This window comes from Homo sapiens, chromosome 12, assembly GCF_000001405.40.
Source record: "Homo sapiens chromosome 12, GRCh38.p14 Primary Assembly".
NCBI classification, from domain to species: domain Eukaryota; kingdom Metazoa; phylum Chordata; class Mammalia; order Primates; family Hominidae; genus Homo; species Homo sapiens.
In genome coordinates, this window is record NC_000012.12 from 71,374,949 (window position 1) to 71,394,770 (window position 19,822).

The 19,822-nt window shown below is 37.9% G+C and overlaps 1 annotated feature.

Moving 5' to 3' along the window:
* Nucleotides 17,601–17,895: a silencer, noted in NCBI's record as "tiled region #3574; HepG2 Repressive DNase matched - State 12:CtcfO". NCBI's record gives its function as "represses a minimal TATA promoter and a strong SV40 promoter by Sharpr-MPRA in HepG2 cells {active_cell/tissue: HepG2}" and the evidence as "EXISTENCE:reporter gene assay evidence [ECO:0000049][PMID:27701403]".

Genomic DNA, 19,822 nt, shown 5'->3' on the forward strand with positions numbered 1-19,822 from the left:
TCAGGTTTTTTGGGCCATATGGACTCTATTGCAAACTACTCAACTCTGCTGTTGTAAAGCAAAAAAAGCAACTAGAGGCAACACATAAGTGAATGGGTGTGGCTGTGATTCAATAATACATTATTAAAAAAAAAAGGACAATGGACCAGATTTAGGCCTGTGGGCCATAGTTTGCCAACTCTTAAAATAGAGAAAAGTTGGGGTAGGTCAGTTTAGATACAAAGATCAAAGAAAGCCTCTTGAAAAAATAGCACTTGAGCCAAGATCTGAAGGAAAGAAAGAGCCACACCTACTTCCCTCAGCCCACTAGCCTTTCAACTGGCAAAGATAACAAACAAATGTTTTATTTTTCTGTTGTTTGGCTCTAAAAGACTTGAATGACAACCCACATAATCTGTAAAATTGATCATTCCAAATGCTAGATAGACATCAACCCCTGTATCCTCAGTGTGAAAATTCACAGGCAAAGTCACTGAATTTATGAAAAGACTTATGAAAAAAGATAGGGATCAATCTGAAGCACTAGATAAAAATCTCCCTTCAAACAGACTTACTGAAGTAAATGGGAAAAGGGATTACAGAATCTCTTATCTGTATTCTTAGCAAGAATTGAAAATACACTGAAACTATAAAAGAAGAATAATCTAACGTACCATAAATATTATTTTATATCAAAATCTTTATTACTATAGAGACATCAAATTTTATACTGGGTTACTATTGAATCAGTGTACTTGTTGAAAAATGCAAAAAAAAAACAGGAGCTATGAAGAACACATTTAAGAAATATAATTTACTTACGGTAGAAGCTCAATATAGAAATAGAGCATATAAAGATAAAGCAATAATTATTAGAAATTATAGAATAGGCCAGGTGCGGTGGCTCACGCCTCTAATCCCAGTGCTTTGGGAGGCCGAGACGAGCAGATCACGGGCTCAGGAGATCGAGACCATCCTGGCTAACACGGTGAAACCTTGTCTCTACTAAAAATACAAAAAAATTAGCCGGGCGTGGTGGCGGGCACCTGTAGTCCCAGCTACTCCAGAGGCTGAGGCAGGAGAATGGCGTGAACCCGGGAGGTGGAGCTTGCAGTGAGCCGAGATCGCGCCACTGCACTCGAGCCTGGGAGACAGAGCAAGACTCCGTCTGAAAAAAAAAAAAAGAAAGAAAGAAAGAAAGAAATTATAGAATAGATTTTCCTTTTAGCTGAGAAGTCTTATTTTTTCAGCCCAACTGAATCAGTACCAGGCCAAATTCATGTAGAAGGAAAACCCAAACCCAGACATTTACCGCTGAAATTGTTGAATTTGAAGGCTTTGGGAAAACTACATATATCTAAAATAGAAGAGAAAGTGGGGTGAGCATGATGGGAAGAGAGAATATAATACGCAAACAGAAAAATGTTCCTAAACAGAGGTCACCTCTACAACTCTAAATGCTTTTAGAAACAAAGATTGTGATCCAGGGATTCTGTATTCATTCAAATTATCACTCACATCTAAGGGCAAAAAGATCTGCTAAAGATTCAGGAAGTATGTTACTTCTGTAAAATAATTACTATAAGAAGTACTTCAATCAAAATTTTTATAGTTTCGGGTCTTACGTTTACGCCTTTGATTGATCTTGAGTTAATTTTTGTATATGGTGAGGATGGGGTCCAGTTTCATTCTTCTCCATATGACTATCTGGTTTTCCGAGCACAACTTATTGAACAGGGTGTCCTTTTGAGAGGTGACAGCATACTGGCAGCGCTCGCAGCCCTCGCTCGCTCTCGTTGCCTCCTCGGCCTTGGCGCCCATTCTGGCGGCGCTTGAGGAGCCCTTCAGCCCGCCGCTGCACCCTGGGAGCCCTTCTCCGGGCTGGCCGAGGCCGGAGCCGGCTCCCTCGGCTTCCGGGGAGGTGTGCAGGGAGAGGCACAAGCGGGAACCGGGGCTGCGCCCGGCGCTTGCGGGCCAGCTGGAGTTCCGGGTGTGCGTGGGCTTGGCGGACACCGCACTCGGAGCGGCCGGCCCGAGCAGTGAGGGGCTTAGCACCTGGGCCAGCAGTTGCGGAGGGTAGGCCGGGTCCCCCAGCAGTGCCGGCCCACCGGCGCTGCGCTCGATTTCTCGCAGGGCCTTAGCTGCCTCCCTGCGGGTCAAGTCTCAGGACCTGCAGCCCGCCATGAGCCTCCCCTTCTCCCCCCTCCAGACCAATCGGCTCTCTGTAAAATGGACCAATCAGCAGGATGTGGGTGGGGCCGGATAAGAGAATAAAAGCAGGCTGCCCGCGCCTGCAGTGCCAACCTGAGGAGGTCTCCTTCCACACTGTGGGAGGTTTGTTCTTTCGCTCTTTGCAATAAATCTTGCTGTTGCTCACTCTTTGGGTCCACACTGCCTTTATGAGTTGTAACACTCACCACGAAGGTCTGCAGCTTCACTCCTGAAGCCAGCAAGACCACAAACCCACCGGGAGGAACGAACAACTCCAGACGCGCCGCCTTAAGAGCTGTAACAATCACCCCGAATGTCTGCAGCTTCACTCCTGAGCCAGTGAGACCACGAACCTGCCAGAAGGAACAAACTCCGAACCGCCGCCTTTAAGAACTGTAACACTCACCGCGAGGGTCCGCGACTTCATTCTTGAAGTCAGTGAGACCAAGAACCCACCAATTCCGGACACACTTTCCCTGTTGCATATTTTTGTTGACTTTGTTGAAGGTGAGTTGGTGTAAGTAGATAGCTTTACTTCTGAGTTCTCTATTGTGTTCCATTGATCTATGTATCTATTTTTATACCAGTACCATTCTGTTTTGGGTAGCATATCCAACTGAGATTTGAACCAGCAGATACAAAAAGCATAACAACAACAACAACAAAAATGAGGGAACAACTGTGACAGGTTTCCAAATGTAGCTGCAACATTACCTCCCCTCCCACAAGCTCTTCAGTCATGCAGCCTTGCTACTCTTCCATGAAAAGTCTATTCCATCCTCTTGAATCTGGGTTGAAGCTGTGACTGCTTTGGCCAATGCCACCCTGCAAACATAAAGCTATGCTCAGACTAGACATACCCCTTAATTGGCCAGGTAGCTTCTGTTTTGCTTCCGTTGGAGCTGTGAGTTGTGCTTAAGAAAGGGCAAGTGGTTCTTCTGAGGAAGAGGACACATAGAGGAGCATGGAGCACCTCAGACTTCTAGCCCAATGGAGCCTTCAATGACTCCAGCCTCAGCCTTTATCTGACAGTGAACACCTGAGATACTCCAAGTGAGAACTACCCAAATGAGTCCAGTAAATTCAAAAAACTATGAAAGAAAATACAAATTGGTGTTTTTTAAAGACACTAGAAATAAATCCCCAAACGGCAATTAATGTAGTAAAACAATGTGCTGCCTAATTGTAATTAATTTTACAATAAAACTGTTCAAATGTAAAACATAGGTCTTAAAATATATGATATAGGATTCTAACAAAATGTGTTAACGATATTTCAGAACTAAAACTCCAGATTCTTTTGACAAAAAAAAGTAAGAGAAGAAAGAATTAAAAGTGTAATGCATTTCTCAACTTATATGGAATATGAAAATAGTTACTATTTCATTCTTGACATTGATAAATTCATATTTAATTTATTTTCAAAAGGAAAATAGTTTTATTATGTTTCTGATTAAAAATTAGTAAATATGGCCAGGTGTGGTGGCTCACGCCTGTAATCCCAGCACTTTGGGAGGCCAAGGCGGACGGATTACCTGAGGTCAGGAGTTTGAGATCAGCCTGGCCAACATGGTGAAACCCCATCCCTACTAAAAAATAAAAATTAGCCGGGTGTGGTGACACACACCTGTAAGTCCCAGCTACTCGGGAGGCTGAGGCAGGAGAATCGCTTAAACCCGGCAGGTGGAGGTTGCAGAGAGCCAAGATCTCACCACTGCACTCCAGCCTATGCAACAGAGTGAAACTCTGTCTAAAAAAAAAAAAATTAATAAAGACTAGTTTTTAAATAATTACATGATACAGAAAAGTGTAAAGAAAAAAGTAAACATCACAGGCAATCTCATTTCCAGAAATACTACTAATAAGTAATTGGTTCATCATCTTTTTTTTTTTTTTAATACAGGATCTCACCATGTTGCCCAGGCTAGTCTCAAACTCCTGGCTTTAAGTGATCCTCTTACCTCAGCCTCCCAAGTAGCTGGAACTACAGGCATGTACCACCATGCCCGGGCATAATCTTGATTTGTAGAGGTATATTAACTAAGATCCTGCTTAACACAATGTTAAATGACGTATACAAAAATGGTTTCACAAACACTCCATTTCTATTTTTTTAAGTCTCAGTTTGTTTGATATCTTTCCATAGTTTAAATGCAGCACAAGTCTTGAGTACTTTTATTAAGAGCACAATATTTCATACTAAATAGGTCATATTATGCCAATAAGCTCCTTTTGATAGTGATACATGAAGGCACTTGGATGCATTGGCATCCTACCTAGCCATGTCCTTAAATTTAAAAGTTATTCTTTTAAATCACTGTTTCCCAACATGTGTGTCACAGAATACCAATCCAATTAGATGTTATAAGAGTAAAAGAAGTTAATGGTCAATAAGTTTAGAAAATTCTATCACAAACAGTACAGAAAGGTTTATTCTCATCTATGTCTTCTTGTTCCCCCGTGCAATATTTTCTCTAGGGGATATGCCCCGCTTTAGAACTGCTGGATCCATGCATTTGTGCATATACAGTTTCCCCACATACTCGCCAACTGGTCTCCAGAATGGATGCACCCACCAGTTTATACTCCATCCAGTAGATGAAGAGTTGCTGCTTCCCACAGACTTGACAATACTTGATATTATCCAACTTTTTAATTTAGCCATTCTTGTTAAAGTTTTAGTTTGCAATTATCTGAATTGAGATTCTTTTCATTATGCCTTTTAGTCATTTTAGTTTTCTCCTTCTTTGAATTGTCTCTTTATATTCTTTGCTCATTCTTCTATGTGATTGCCTGGGATTTTTAATTGTGGGTTTGTAGGATTTCTTTATATTTTAATCTTTTATTAATTGTTCACACCCCAAATATCTTCTCCCAGTCTGTCTATAGTGTCCTACACAAAACAGAAGTCCTTACTTTTGACTTCAATTTCACCAATTTTTTTTGTATGCCCTGGGCTTTACCTCATTTGAGAAATGCTCTCCCACTGTATTGTTACAAAGACATTCTCTAACATTTTTTATCATAGCTTTATAGTTTTGTCTTTTATTTTGAGATCTTCATTACAATGGGGGATCATTTTTATATGTGGTATGAATTTGGGGCCTGTATTTTCTCCAAGTGTTTAGCCAATTTTCACAATAATGTTTTTTAAATAATCTACCATTTTCTCAATGATCTACTTACCAAGTTCTTATATACACATGGATTTGTTTTAGATCCTATTTTATTTTAGATTCTATTCTATTGTCTATTTGGCATTTTTAGTGTCAGTATCACACTGAATTACTAGAGCTTAGTAATATACCTTAATATCTAGTAAGATATTTCCCAACCTCTCTCTTCTTTTTATGAACTGTTTTAGCTATTTGTGGATTTGCGTGTGACCAATTCACCTCTATTGGATTTTTTATTTTAGTTACATTAAATTTATATTTTAATTTAGGAAGAATTTATATCTTTATGTTAAATCTTCCTTCCACAAATCTGGTATTTCTACCTAATCAGTTCTTTTTTTAATGTCCCTTAATAATGCTTTAAAATGTCTTCCAAAATAATTTTTGCATTTTAGGTCAGTTTATATATATATATATATATATATATATATATATATGCTATTGTAAACAGTATCTTATCGTCTATTATATTTTTTAACGGCTGTTGGTGTAAAATAAGTCTATTTATCATTACGTACTGATTTGTGCTCAGCAAGCAAACTGAACTCTCTTTTTAGCTTTAGTCATTTGTCTGTTGATTCTCTTGAGTTTTCTATGTACTTAAATCATCTACGCGTACTGACAGTTTTGTCTCCTTCCTTATAGCTTTATCCCTTATTTCTTTTACTTCTCATATTTCATTGGCCAGGACACCTAGTCCTTTGTAGAAAAGAAGGGATCATAGCAGGCATTCTTTTTTGTTATTGACATTAAAGGGAAGACTTCTAAGGTTTCTCCATTAAGTATGATGTTTGAACATTTTTACCATATCTACCACTGAGGCAATACGATGTTTAATGGTGTGTTTATTAATAAAGAAATTGAAAACCTCATTTTGAGAGACAGAATTTCTTGCCAATGTAATACTAAGCTCCAAACTAAACTTAAAGTCTGAACATATTTTTCCAACTTAAAATAGTTTTAATTGTGCTTTTACCTCCCGGTTTTCTCATTTCTCTTTGCCAAATTTTGGCCCAGGGAATAGAGTGTAACAGTACTATTAGTAGCCATCTGACAAGGGATTAAAATAATTTATGGTTTGAACTATGGATATACAGGTTCTGTACCACTGCTTATGAAGTAACAAATGTAGCTGGTTTTTACTATTACAGATTAAGTTTTCACATTCATATATTAAGGAAACATCAGTGTTTCAATTCTATCTCTACTTAAGAACAAACTAGCTAAGCAATTGTAAGCAAATTATCAGATCTCACTGAGTTCACTTTCTGCTTCAGTAAAATGTGCAGTATATAAATGTTGGCTCATAGGGTTGTTGTAATGGGAATAATAACACTTATCTTAAAAGGTTTTGTAAGAGGCCTGGCACAGTGGCTCACACCTGTAATCCCAGCACTTTGGGAGGCTAAGGCAGGTGTATCATGAGGTCAGGAGATTGAGACCAGCCTGGCTAACACGGTGAAACCCAGTTTCTACTAAAAATACAAATAATTAGCCAGGCGTGGTGGCGTGCGCCTGTAGTCCCAGCCATTCAGGAGGCTGAAGCAGGAGAATCGCTTGAACCCAGTAGGTGGAGGTTGCAGTGAGCCGACATTGCGCCACTGCACTCCAACCCGGACGACAGAGTGAAACTCTGTCTCAAAAAAAAAAAAAAAAAAAAGGTTTTGTGAGAATTATATGATCTGATCATGACAAAATTTACAACAATGCCTAACAAGACTATCATGTTATTGTTTCACAAACTTTTTCTTTGAGTCTCTTCAAGAACTCTACGAGCCAGGTGGAGCTTATAATGACTATTATTTTTTACTCATTGTACAGATGAGGAAAGAGAAATTAAATTCATAGACAGGACTATATTCAGTGGGTATACAGTGATACATTGTTATGAGATGTCAAGATGTTAAGATCCTTCCATACAAGCTGGTAAATAGTTACTGCCAGTGCCCCAAGGACCATTTTTCCAGCTTCTCCCCTGGAACCCATTGCCCATTCCATGATCCAGCAACTGAAAGGCTAACATGCAACTAGCAGGAGGACTTGAGGACAGCTTGGCTGGTGACCACAAATTCCCAATTATTAAGTGTTTTGAATATAACCTTTGTTTTTTGTAAATGTCAAACCTAAGATTAACAGGTCATTTGAGTTCTAATTTACATAATAGACTAAATAAGGAGAAAAACATGAGACTATAGTTTCAGTGTATAAGCTTCTCTTAAGTAAAAAATGGGAGAAAATCCAGAATAGGGGAGAGAATATTCGTAATGCTGTCTGGTTGATAGAATTAAATCATCTGAGTAACAGGTTTTAAAAGTTCAATATAGTGAAGGTTGAACATTAATAGAAATATGCATATGCCATATTTATTATAAGGTCCTTTTTATATTTTGTAGCAAAATTGGATGTTTTACAATAAAATATGAACTTGTATTGCTTTTATGATTTTGTTATATCAAAACCTTAGGAACATTCTGCAAAGGCAGTTAGGATGACAGTAACAACCACCTGTTTATTTGTACATTTTAATTTTGAAAAGTTGCATTTACAGCATAAAATTTAAGAAAAATTCTAAAATAAAAAACAATAAAACCATATTACCATGCTTTACATGTTCAATATTAAAAACGGTTTAAAATATAAATTACCTGTAGGAGAAAGTAGACAGAGCTAATTCAGAGACCCTCGGTAACTACAAAGCAATAGACAACATTGACCAACCTCTTATGGGTTTCATGTCAATTTCACTCAATTTCATGTCGATTTCACTATAGAAACTATAGCCTCTGTATCATAGGAGTGAAATTTAAAAATAAGTTATCTCATTACATAAAAATTCCTATTATATCACTATCAAAGAGCTTATAATAGGTAAATAGGCAAAAATAAATAAATGTTCACAGGAGACCTTGAGCTTACCATAGTTTTAGGTTCCAAAAGTCTATAAACTGGTAAGTTGGAACTCGGAATATATTTTTCCATTGCTATAATTTTCTACTATATTTCCTGGTTCTTTGCATATATGTCACCTCCCACTTGAATTTGTAAAACCTTTTAAATCAAGTCTCAGGTTATATTATTTATATTTCCTAGAAGACGTAGCACACTCTATTGCTAGCAGGCATTAACTATAAAACAAATGTGTAGATTAACTAATTAATAAACAAAGTAGCAAAAAGAAATTAATTAATGATGGTCAGATTTCTAGACCAGCCCAGTTCAATTCTCCAATTAAATTCAATAAATATTTTTGATCCTCCACACTGGGCCAGGCACCTTAAACTAAAAAAATACAAAACCTACACCATAATATCAGTTCATCTAATCAGCACTCATACTGGGTATTTTCTAATGCATTTTGATTTCTCACATCTCCAGAGTAAAAAAAGTTGTTAATTCTTTATTTGATATTTAAAATTTGCATGAAAGAGAATACCTCTCCACATCTGTAGAGCTACTCTTCAGGAAACACACACACACACAGACACAGACACACACACACACACACAGAGAGAGAGAGAGAAAACTAAGGGAAAAATTTATAAAACAATAAGACACCTAAAATCATACCTGAATTTGATGCCGCTTAGTTTACTGCTCAAATCTTTGATTATTTGGCCACAACTTCAATCTCCTCAATAAATTAAAAGGTGGCTTCTAATCATATTCAAAAATAGGAGGGAAAGCTCTTCCAGTAAATTTAGTGCCCTATTTGACCCACCTCCAAAAGTTAATTTAAAATAACAAGCATTTGCCAACCAACCCAACCAGGAACTGTAACTAAAACCATAATACCATGTGATCAGCCATTTGAGATGCTGTTGACAAATCTTCCATTAGAGCAGGTTAAACTACCATCATTAACAACTCATCAGTCAATCTGCTGAGAGTCCTTTCCTATATCATTTCCTCTCTGAATGCATGGGGGTCACACAGCACTATTATATTAAATAACTCAGGGAAATCTAAAAAACATTTAAGATGAAGTGTATGACATGGTGTATTATTTTCCATTTACGGGATATTTCCAGTTTTATACTATCAGACTAGCACACATGGTATTCTCATCATTAGCATCAGAAGTTCCATAAACATATCACAAGTAATACAAGGGTCTATGGTTGCAATTTGCTTATAGTCACATCAAAAACAGTTTTCATGGTAGCAGTTTAGTTCCAGGAGTCATTTTTTCTCATTAGAAAACCAAAGCCAGCAAACAAATGCAGGATATGAGCAGGGTTGACAATCACTACTTGAAAGTCAGAACAACTGTGGTGTCACTTAGCTGACTGTTAGAGGATATTTGGGTGGAAATTAGACTAGTCCTGGCTTATTCAGTGCATCTTTTGAGTTTATTCCTGTTAAAGCCTAATTTTTAGATGATAACTGAAGAGAAATGTCTTACTCTCTCTAAAAGTAGATGTGACCTGGTGGTTTGTGTGGAATTACAAGACTTTTTAAAAACCCCTATTCGATGCTGTATGGATTCGAGATATTTTTCTTGGGTCTCTAGTTTTATAATCTGTTTCCTGTGAAGCTTACATGGCCAATTTTCTTATGAGAGAAGCTCTGTTTTGAGGACTAACAAATCCCAAAACACTAAATTTAAGTCCAAAATAAGCAGTTATCATAAAAGAATATTGAGTACTAGATCTTCGGTCATTTCAAAATTATTAGTGATACAATTTGTGACCACTTTTGTAATAGCCAACAGTTCACTACTTATATTCCTGGAAAATATTATGGAAGCTGTTCATAATCTTTTTAAAGAGCCACAAAAATTATTTTCATATTAAAATAAATAATAAATATTTAGCATTATCATAATGTTACATATAACTTTAGTATGGTTTCCAGAATAGCATATACAACTGGTTTTCCTCCTACTTAACAATTGCTCCTTAGTCTGTTTTGCTGTTTCCTGCTCAACTTCCTGATCTCTCAGCACTTCATTAAAGTGTTGCCGGGCTCTGTCTTTGGACTTCTATGTATGCTCCATCACCTCAACTTTCATTACTTTAAAGACCATCAAAATGCTGACAATGCCCAAATTTAGTCTGGACACCTCTCCTAACCTCCACACTCATATATCTAACTACTTACTCAATATCTCCATTTGGATATCTAATCTACATCTCAAGATTTACATGTCTAAAATTAAGGTCCTTATATTTTAACCTCCTCCTCTCTCCCACAAGCTGTTTCTCTCATAGTCTTCCCCAGCTCAATTAATGGTAACTTCTAGCTATTCAGGCCAAAAATCTCAGCATAATCTTTAATTCTCTTTCTATCACATCCTATTGCAATGTGTTAGAAACATCCTATATACAATGCATTAGAAACTCTTTCAAAGGCTCCACCTTCAAAATATAGGCAATGGAATACTGTTTGTCAATGAAAAAGGGTGCACACACACATACACACACACAGATACTTGTAAAAGTGTCCAAAATACTTTGAGTCAAAGAAGCCAGAGGCAAAAGATTATACATAGTGTAATTCCATTTATGTGAGTTTCAAGAACTGGCCAACCCAATCTGTGGTGATAGATATCAGAATAATCATTTTCTCTGGGGAGTCACTGAGGGTATTGGCTAAAAACACACAAAGGAATTTGGGGAGAATTAAAATGTTCTATTATTTGATCTGGGTGATGGTTACAAGGATGCATACACATGTTAAAATCCATTAGGTTGTTCACTTAAAAATTATTAATTTTATTGTATATTAATCATCCCTCAAGTAAGTATTAATATGTATAGAACATATATTTCTATTGCCTTGGAAGGGTCAAAAGGTGGTGTATTTAGTCACACAGAAGTCTCTTTGAAAAGATTAAGCTGTGACTCAGATTCTCCCAACCATCTAAGCAAAAACCAAAAATTGGGATGGGGTTATTTAGGAAAACCCTGTGGAAAGCCTCTTGTCTAATGGAGTAAATCCATTGAGAATTTTACACCAGCAGAACCAATTCGGACCAGTTTGGACAATAACAAACAGAGCAACAACAAATAAAAGAACACTGCTGACTCCCAAAATTCTACAGGCAGAAAACAAACTGATCAAACTACCCAGTTTTGTGCTCATGCTACCCTTCCTGAAAAATTAAGGATGACCTTGAAGATGGAGCCACAAGCCCAGAGGGTGGAGCCAAAAACTACAGAGTATCATCCTCAGGTCCAAAAAGCATAATGTTTGCCCACCTGGATTTCAATTTTTCTTGGAACTGGTGACTCCTTTTTCTTCTACATTTTCTCTTTTCAAATGGGAACTTCTATAACTTTTATCCTATGCCTATACCATCACCATTGTATTTTGGGAGAAACTAACTTGCTTCTTAAGTTTTACAGATTAACAGATGAAGAGTAATTATACCTCAGGATGGATTAGAGCCTCACCCATAGCTGATTATATTATGAGATTGGGGGATTTTGAGTTGATGAATTTATTTAAACTTCAAATTGCTGCTGAAATGGGTTGAGATGTTTAGGGATATTGGAGCCAGCTGAATGCATTTTGAATGTGGGACAGATGTGAAACTTTGGGAGCCTGAGGGTAGACTGTGGTAGGCAAAATAATGCTCCCCAAAGATGTTTATGTCCTAATCCCTGAAACCTACGAATATGTTATATTACATGGCAAAAGGGACTTTGCAGATGTGATTGAGTCAAGAACCTTGAAATAGGAAGATTATCCTGGATCATCCTGGTAGGTCTAATGTAATTATGAGAGCCTTTGTAAGAGAGAGAGAGAGACAGAGTGTGTGTGTGTGTGTGTGTGTGTGTGTGTGTGTGTGTGTGTGTGAGAGAGAGAGAGAGACAGAGAGAGACAGACAGACAGAGACAGAGAGAGAGAGAGATTTGAAGATGGAGAAAGAAGCCAGACGCCAAGAAATATAGATGGCCCTTGGAAGCTGGAAAATACAAGACACTAAATGATATTATCCCTTAGAGCCTCCAGAAGAAATGCAATCGGCAGACACCTTGATTTTAGCCCATAAAAACTTCTGACCTACGAACTTTAAGATCATAAATTTGTATTGTTTTTTTGTGTTTTTTTTTTTTTTTTTTTTTTTTTTGAGACGGAGTCTCGCTCTGTCACCCAGGCCAGACTGCGGACTGCAGTGGCGCAATCTCGGCTCACTGCAAGCTCCGCTTCCCGGGTTCACACCATTCTCCTGCCTCAGCCTCCCTGTATTGTTTTAAACTAGTAAATTTGTTGTAATTTATTACATCAGCAACAGGAAATTACTATACCCATCTACAGTTTATTTTCAATCTAACAGCTGGAGGGATCCTACTGAAACATAAGTCAGATGATATCAGTTATTTCGTTAAACACTTCAGTCCAGTAGCTGCCTTTCTTCCCACAGACTAAAAAACCAAAGACCTTATAGCCCCCGCTCAGGACTCTACAGTCTATTCTTCACCCCCTGCGCAATACCTCCCTGACACTTCATCCTCTGCACTCCACTTTCCCCTACCTCACTGCAGCCCGCCCGTGTACTTCAGGTTCCTTTACCCTTTACGCCTTGAGACCTTTGCCATTTAGGGGTCCATCTGTCTAAAATATTTTTCTCTCAGATATTTCTTTTCTTTTCTCTTTTTTTTGAGATGGAGTCTCACTCTGTTGCCCATGATGGAGTGCAGTGGTGCCATCTCAGCTCACTGCAACCCCTACCTCCCAGGTTCAAGAGATTTTCCTACCTGAGCCTCCCGAGTATCTGGGACTACAGGTGGGGCCATCACATCCTGCTACTTTTTGTGTTTTTAGTAGAGACGAGGTTTCATCATGTTGGCCAGGCTGGTCTGAAACTCCTGGCCTCAAGCGATCCTCCCGCCTTGGCCTCCCAAGTAGCTGGGATTACAGGCACTCGCCATCAAGCTCAACTAAATTTCGTATTTTTACTAGAGACAGGGTTTCACCATGTTGGCCAGGCTGGTCTCGAACTCCAGACCTCAAGTGATCAGCCCACCTCGGCCCCCCAAAGTGCTGGGATTACAGGCGTGAGCCACCATGCTCAGCCTCTCTCAGATATTCCTGTCTGTCTTTCTCAGCTCCTCCATGTCTTTCCTCAAATATTATTTTCTAAATAAGATTTTCTTTTGCCTTCTTATTTAGAACTGAATGTTCCCAACTCCAACCCCTAGCACTCTTTAATCTCCTTTCCAGCTTTACTTTTCTTTATTTTTCATGGCCCTAATTATCTCTCAACATACTCTATTTTTCTTATTTTGTTGATTCTCTCTCTTCTCCCACAAGAATCAAAACTATCTCACAGCCAAAATATCACCTGGATCATAGCAGGCACTCAAGCACCCCGTAAATGATTGTGACATAAATGAAGTTGACAGAATTACCTTTAGCAACTATGACACAGATATAGGAACTTTCACTAAGCTCCTTGAGGGCAGAGCTGGATCTTGCATGGCCTATGAAAATGTCTTTTTACCCCCAGCTCAGGACTAAAAATGGAGCAGGCACTAAACATGTACTTATGGCATTTTTTAATGTTTTTATTGTAGTAAAATATGCATAACACAAAATTTACCATCTTAACCATTTTTAAGCATACAGTTCAGTGACATTCACATTATTGTATAACTATCACCACTACCTATCATCTCCAGAACTTTTCATCTTCCCAGGCTGAAATTTTGGACCCATTAAGCACTAACTCCCCATTCCCTACTCTCCTCAGCCCCTGACAGCCACTATTCTACTTTCTGTCTTTATGAATTTGACTACTCTAGGTACCCTCACATAAGTAGATCATACAATATGTGTCCTTTTGTGACTGGCTTATTTCAGTTAGCACAATGTCTTCAAGGTCCATCCATGTTGTAGCGTGTTGTCAGAAGTGCCTTTCTTTTTAAGGCTGAATAATATTCTATTGGATGTATATATCACAATTTCTTTATCCATTTATCCATGAATGGACACTTGGGATGCTTCCACCTTTTGGCTATTGTTAATAATGCTGCTATGAAGATGCAAGTACAAATATCTATTCCAGTCCCTGCTTTCATTTCTTTTGGGTAAATTCCTAGAAGTGAAATTTCAGGATCATATGGTAATTATATGTTTAATTTTTTGAAGAATTTTCATATTGTTTTCAATAGCAACTGTGCCATTCAGCATTCCTATCAGCAATACACAATGATTCCAATTTCTCCATATTCTCATCATGCATTTTTTTGTGCTGTGATTTGTTTGTTTGTTTGTTTTTTTATAATAGCCATCCTAATGGAAATGAAATGATGTCTTACTGTGGTTTTGACTTGCATTCACCTAATGATCAGTGATGTTAAACATCTTTTCATGTACTTATTGACCCTTTGTATATTTTCTTTGGAGCAAAGTCCTTTTCCCATTTTTTAACCTGTTTTTTTTTCTGTTGTTAATTTAAGGAGTTAATATATTCTGGATATTAATTCCTTATTAGATGGATGATTTGTAAATATTTTCTCCTATTCTTTGGGTTGACTTTTCACTCCATTGATAGTGTCCTTTGATGCTCAAAAGTTTCTTATTTTAATAAAATCCAACTAATTTTTTCTTTTATTGCCTGTGACTTTAGTGTCATATCCAATAAATAATTGCCAAACCCAATATCATAAATATTTCTCTATTTTTTTTCTAAGAATTTCATAGTTTTAGCTGTTATGTTTAGTCTCTGATCCATTTCGAGTTAATTTTTATATATATAGTGTAAGGTAAAAGTCCATGTTTATTATTTTTCATGTAGATACCCAATTTTTTCAACACTTTTGTTAATAAAACTGACCTTTTCCCATCGGATGGTCTTAACACCCTACTTAATGGCTGTATTCGTCTGTTCTCATGCTGCTGATAAAGACATACCAGAGACTGGGCAATTTACAAAAGAAAGAGGTTTAATGGACTTACAGTTCCACATGGCTGGGGAGGCCACACAATCATGGTGAAAGGCAAGGAGAAGCAAGTCATGTCTTACATGGATGGTGGCAGGCTAAGAGAGAGCTTGTGCAGGGAAACTCCCATATTTAAAACCATCCAATCTTGTGAGACTCATTCACTATCATGAGAACAGCACAGGAAAGACCCACCCCTATAATTCAATCACCTCCCACCAGGTTCCTCCCATGACACGTGGGAATTGTGGAAGTTACAATTCAAGATGAGATTTGGGTGGAGACACAGCCAAACCATATCAATGTGGCATTTTAATTAAGTCACTTTATAATTAATTCCACTCTATAAAGAGTTTGCAGTTTATTGCATGGAATGATAAATTCATTTCTTCTTTTGGGTGGATGCAAGCAGTATACCTCTGTGAACAAAGCAGAAAATCACTATACTTGCCGTTTCATGCCCTCACTTCTATAATGGTTTGACTCTAAAATGTGCAGCAAACTTCTTTATATATATTCAAAAGAATGATTTACCCACTGTCTGATTTAATGCTTTTTAAAGCCTAAAAGCCTGTCAAACAGACTGAAGAATCATTTTCCATCCCTTTATGCTCCTGTGCCTCACTGTGGGCGACATTACATTACCCTACATTGTGCCTAGGTGTGCTCTTCCACCAATAGCAAGCCTACTGTCCTACTGAACAACTGCAAAAGTGAAGGATTTACAACAGGAAGCTTCCCCAAATGCTCATGTTTACTTTAAACCAACAATCATTAAGGAAAGAATCTGGTGGAAGGAAGACACAAGGTGACTTGCAAAGTCATTAATAAGAGGTCATAAATAGGTATAATCGAAGGTTTGGGCTTCTCTTAAAAAAAAAAAGAGAGACTTAAGAATTAAGTTATAATAATATCCCATTTAATGCCTGAATTTAAATGAAAAAGGGATCTACTGCAGGCCAGGTGTAGTTGCTCACACCTGTGATCCCAGCACTTTGGGAGGCCAAAGCAGGTGGATCACTTGAGCACAGGAGTTCGAGACCAGCCTGGGCAACATAGTGAGAACCTGTCTCTACAAAAATTAATGGGGCATGGTGCCATGAGCCTGTAGTCTCAGCTACTCAGGAGACTGAGGTGGGAGGATCGCTTGAGCCCGGGAGGCAGAGGTTGCTATGAGCCAAAATCATGCCACTGCACTCCAGCCTGGGTGACAGAGTGAGACTCTGTCTCAAGATTTAAAATAAATAAATAAATAGTAAAAACTACTGCAATAGGTTTCTGTAGATGTTATAAATTATAAATATATTAAAAACTGTGGTATTATTATCACAAGTTATCTCAATTATTTCATAGATACCATTCTTCAAGAACTCTATATACGAAACTATGATTTCAAAAATGTTTAACAATAGGAGCTTAAAATTAGATAAATTATTTTAAAAACTAAGGTTAGTACTAGTATAAATACCTGAAACCCTCAGGGAACCACACATCTCGATGAACTGGAAGGCACCACCAAGAGTTTTATGGTCACTCTGTCTTTCACTACTACCCTATTAATATGACAAGTATATTTGTGAACCTAGAAATGGACTTAAGTCTATTATTTGGAAAAAACTTTGTGTTTCTGATTTGTCTAGTTTAATTACAACTACAAATATTAATCAACTTCATCACTGGGTGGCATTGTAAGTACCCATATATGTTGGAGACTTCATTGAAAAAAAAGAGAGAGAGAGAGAGAAAGATCTGCTTTTAGAAAGTGTACCGACTTGGCCAGGCACGGTGGCTCATGCCTATAATCTCAGCACTTTGGGAGGCCAAGGCGGGAGGATTGCATAAGCCCAGGAGTTTGACCCATAGTGAGAAACATAGTGAGACCCTGTCTCTACAAAAAATATTTTTTTTTTAATTAGCCGGGCATGGTGGCATGCACCTGTAGTCCCAGCTACTTAGGGAGCTGAGGTGGGAGGATGACCTGAGCCAGAGAGGTCAAGGCTGCAGTGAGCTGTGATCATGCCACTGCACTCCAGTCTGGATGACAGAGCAAGACCCTGTACCCTCACCCAAAAAAATGTTTATCAGGTGATATCAACATGGACAAGCCTAGACTTACAAAAAACATTAGCCAATCCTAGAATTTTTTTCTAATAGTTAAATGATTATGATAACTCAAGAGCAGGATCATAGGAATATTGCATAAAAATAATAATTTAATTAAATTTAATTTAAACATAGGTGTTTACCTGAAACAGATGTGCCAATGGAGAGCTGAGTACATTTAGCATAAGTAGAAAGTATAATACCTAGCCTATATTACTTACAGAATTTGGAAGATAGCTCCAACGTGGGAGCCACTCTGAGACAAAGCTAGAACCCCCAAATGGCCACGAGGAGCTTATGACGCAGACTTTCAGCAGTAGCCAGAGGACCCTCTTTTCTGAGGCATAAAACATGGTACTGACTGAAGAGCTAAGGCTAGTGAAGGCAGTCGCTGTGTCCTAAAAGATGTTGTCTACAAAGTGTCCTCTAGTGGTCAAAGGCTATCACTGCATGTTAAAAATAGCAACCTTTCTCTTGTAAGACCATGAATCAGCTCTCACCGGTACTGGGTAGTTAATCTGGTGATTATTATTTTTCAAGTATATAAATGGTTTCCCACTTATCTTGATATCAGGAGACAAAGAAAACAAGGTCATTAAAAGTGTCCTGATTTAGTGGCCAAAAAAGGCGGTAGAGCCTAGCAATTAAAAGCGTGATTAGGAGTTAGGCAGCCTATGTAAATAAAACCTTGCTGTACTTCTTACTCGCTTCGTGACCGAAAAAATGAATTAAACTTTTTGCTTGTCAGTTAACACATCTGTAAAGTGGAGATAACTTTATTACCTCATAGGATAAGCTTCATAATAATCCTATAAGGTAATAAATATTAATCAAATCTGGAGCCACCTTAACTCAGAATCTTTTTTTATGTTATAATAAATTATCCTCACTTTTAAAGCTGCTTTCCATGTGTGTTTTCTACTATTATTTTCAGCCATTGCCATCCTACAAATACACTGACTATTATAAATAAATATTTTAGATTAGAATGTGCAGTCTTACTACAGGCTAGAGTTTAGTGTACTAAGGATTATTCTATTATATAGATTATCTAAGCCACTAACTAGGTAGATGAGAAAACCAAGGCCCTTAGAGTTTCGATGTCCTATCCCAGGTCACACAGTTAATAGAGTTGGGATTGTCTGAAACTCAGTAGGCCTAACTCCCAGTCCAATGCTCATTTATCATATGATTTATTTCACTTTTCTTCCCAATCCATAAAAGTCACCACAGATCACACTCCAGTGCAGAGGGAACCAAGAAACCAACTGCTTCTTCAACATAGTTTCCAGACATGGCAACAATTAACCACTTTTTGTAGGCAGTTAATGGATTAACACAACCGCTAAGATTATAATGAAAAGATACTGGAAGAACCACTGTGAAAGCAAAACATCGGCGAGTTCACATCTTACTGAAACATCAGTAATTAGACATTGATATGTGAAAAAATGTAGGCAAATGATGAAACCGGGTTAATGTACTTACTCCATAGCCAACCCATCAGACTACCTTCACCCACTTCCTGCTTTCAGTCCAGCCCTGATAAGAGTTATTTGGCTGTCATTCTGCCTTCCCTCCAGTTTACCTCCTGCCATCTCTTCTTAAATCTGTAGATATGTAATTTAATGGCATCACTATTGGCCCAATGGCTTAGACCCAAAACCTGTAGTCTCTTTAGATGTCTTTCATATTCCATACCCAAACCATTAGCAAATTCTGAATTTACCTTCAAAATACATTCCAAATCCCATCACTTCTCACCAACTACACAGCTACTACTTTGATCCTTTTCTTCATAAACCTTCACTTTGCTAACTACTACAACTGCCTCATAACAAATACTTTGCTTCCACTCGTCTGTTATAGCCCAAAAAATGCTACATTTAATTATTTCTGTGTTTAAAGCCTCCAGTGGCTTTTTATCACATTCAAAATAAAATCCAAACCTGTTACCTTAGTTTACAAGCCCATCTTAATATGATCCTTGGCTCTACTTTCCAACTGCATGTCCTGTTCATCCCACTCTACACTGCCCTCCTTGCTGCTACTTGAAAAAGCCATGCTTTTTCCCAATTTAGGGGTTTTTGTCTATGCAGTTTCCTCTGCTGAACAGATTTCTCCTCCCAGTATTCCAATAAGTGGCTCTATCGCTTCAGTCAGGTCTCTGCTCAACTGTCTGTCACCTGTCAAAGAAGCAGTCTCTATTTCATCTACATTAGAACACCTATCATTCTATCCCTTCATCCTGCATATTTTTTCTTAAAGCATTTATTATTACCTTACATTATATTACACATTTGTTAACTTTTTATTATTTGTATCTTGCACTAGAAGATAAGCTTTGTGGTGGCACAAACTTGTTTTGTTTACTGATGTTTCCCCAGCTCCTAAAACAGTGCAGAGCACACATTAAGTACTCATAAGTTATAGTCAGAGAAATGAATTAATGCCTCCATATTT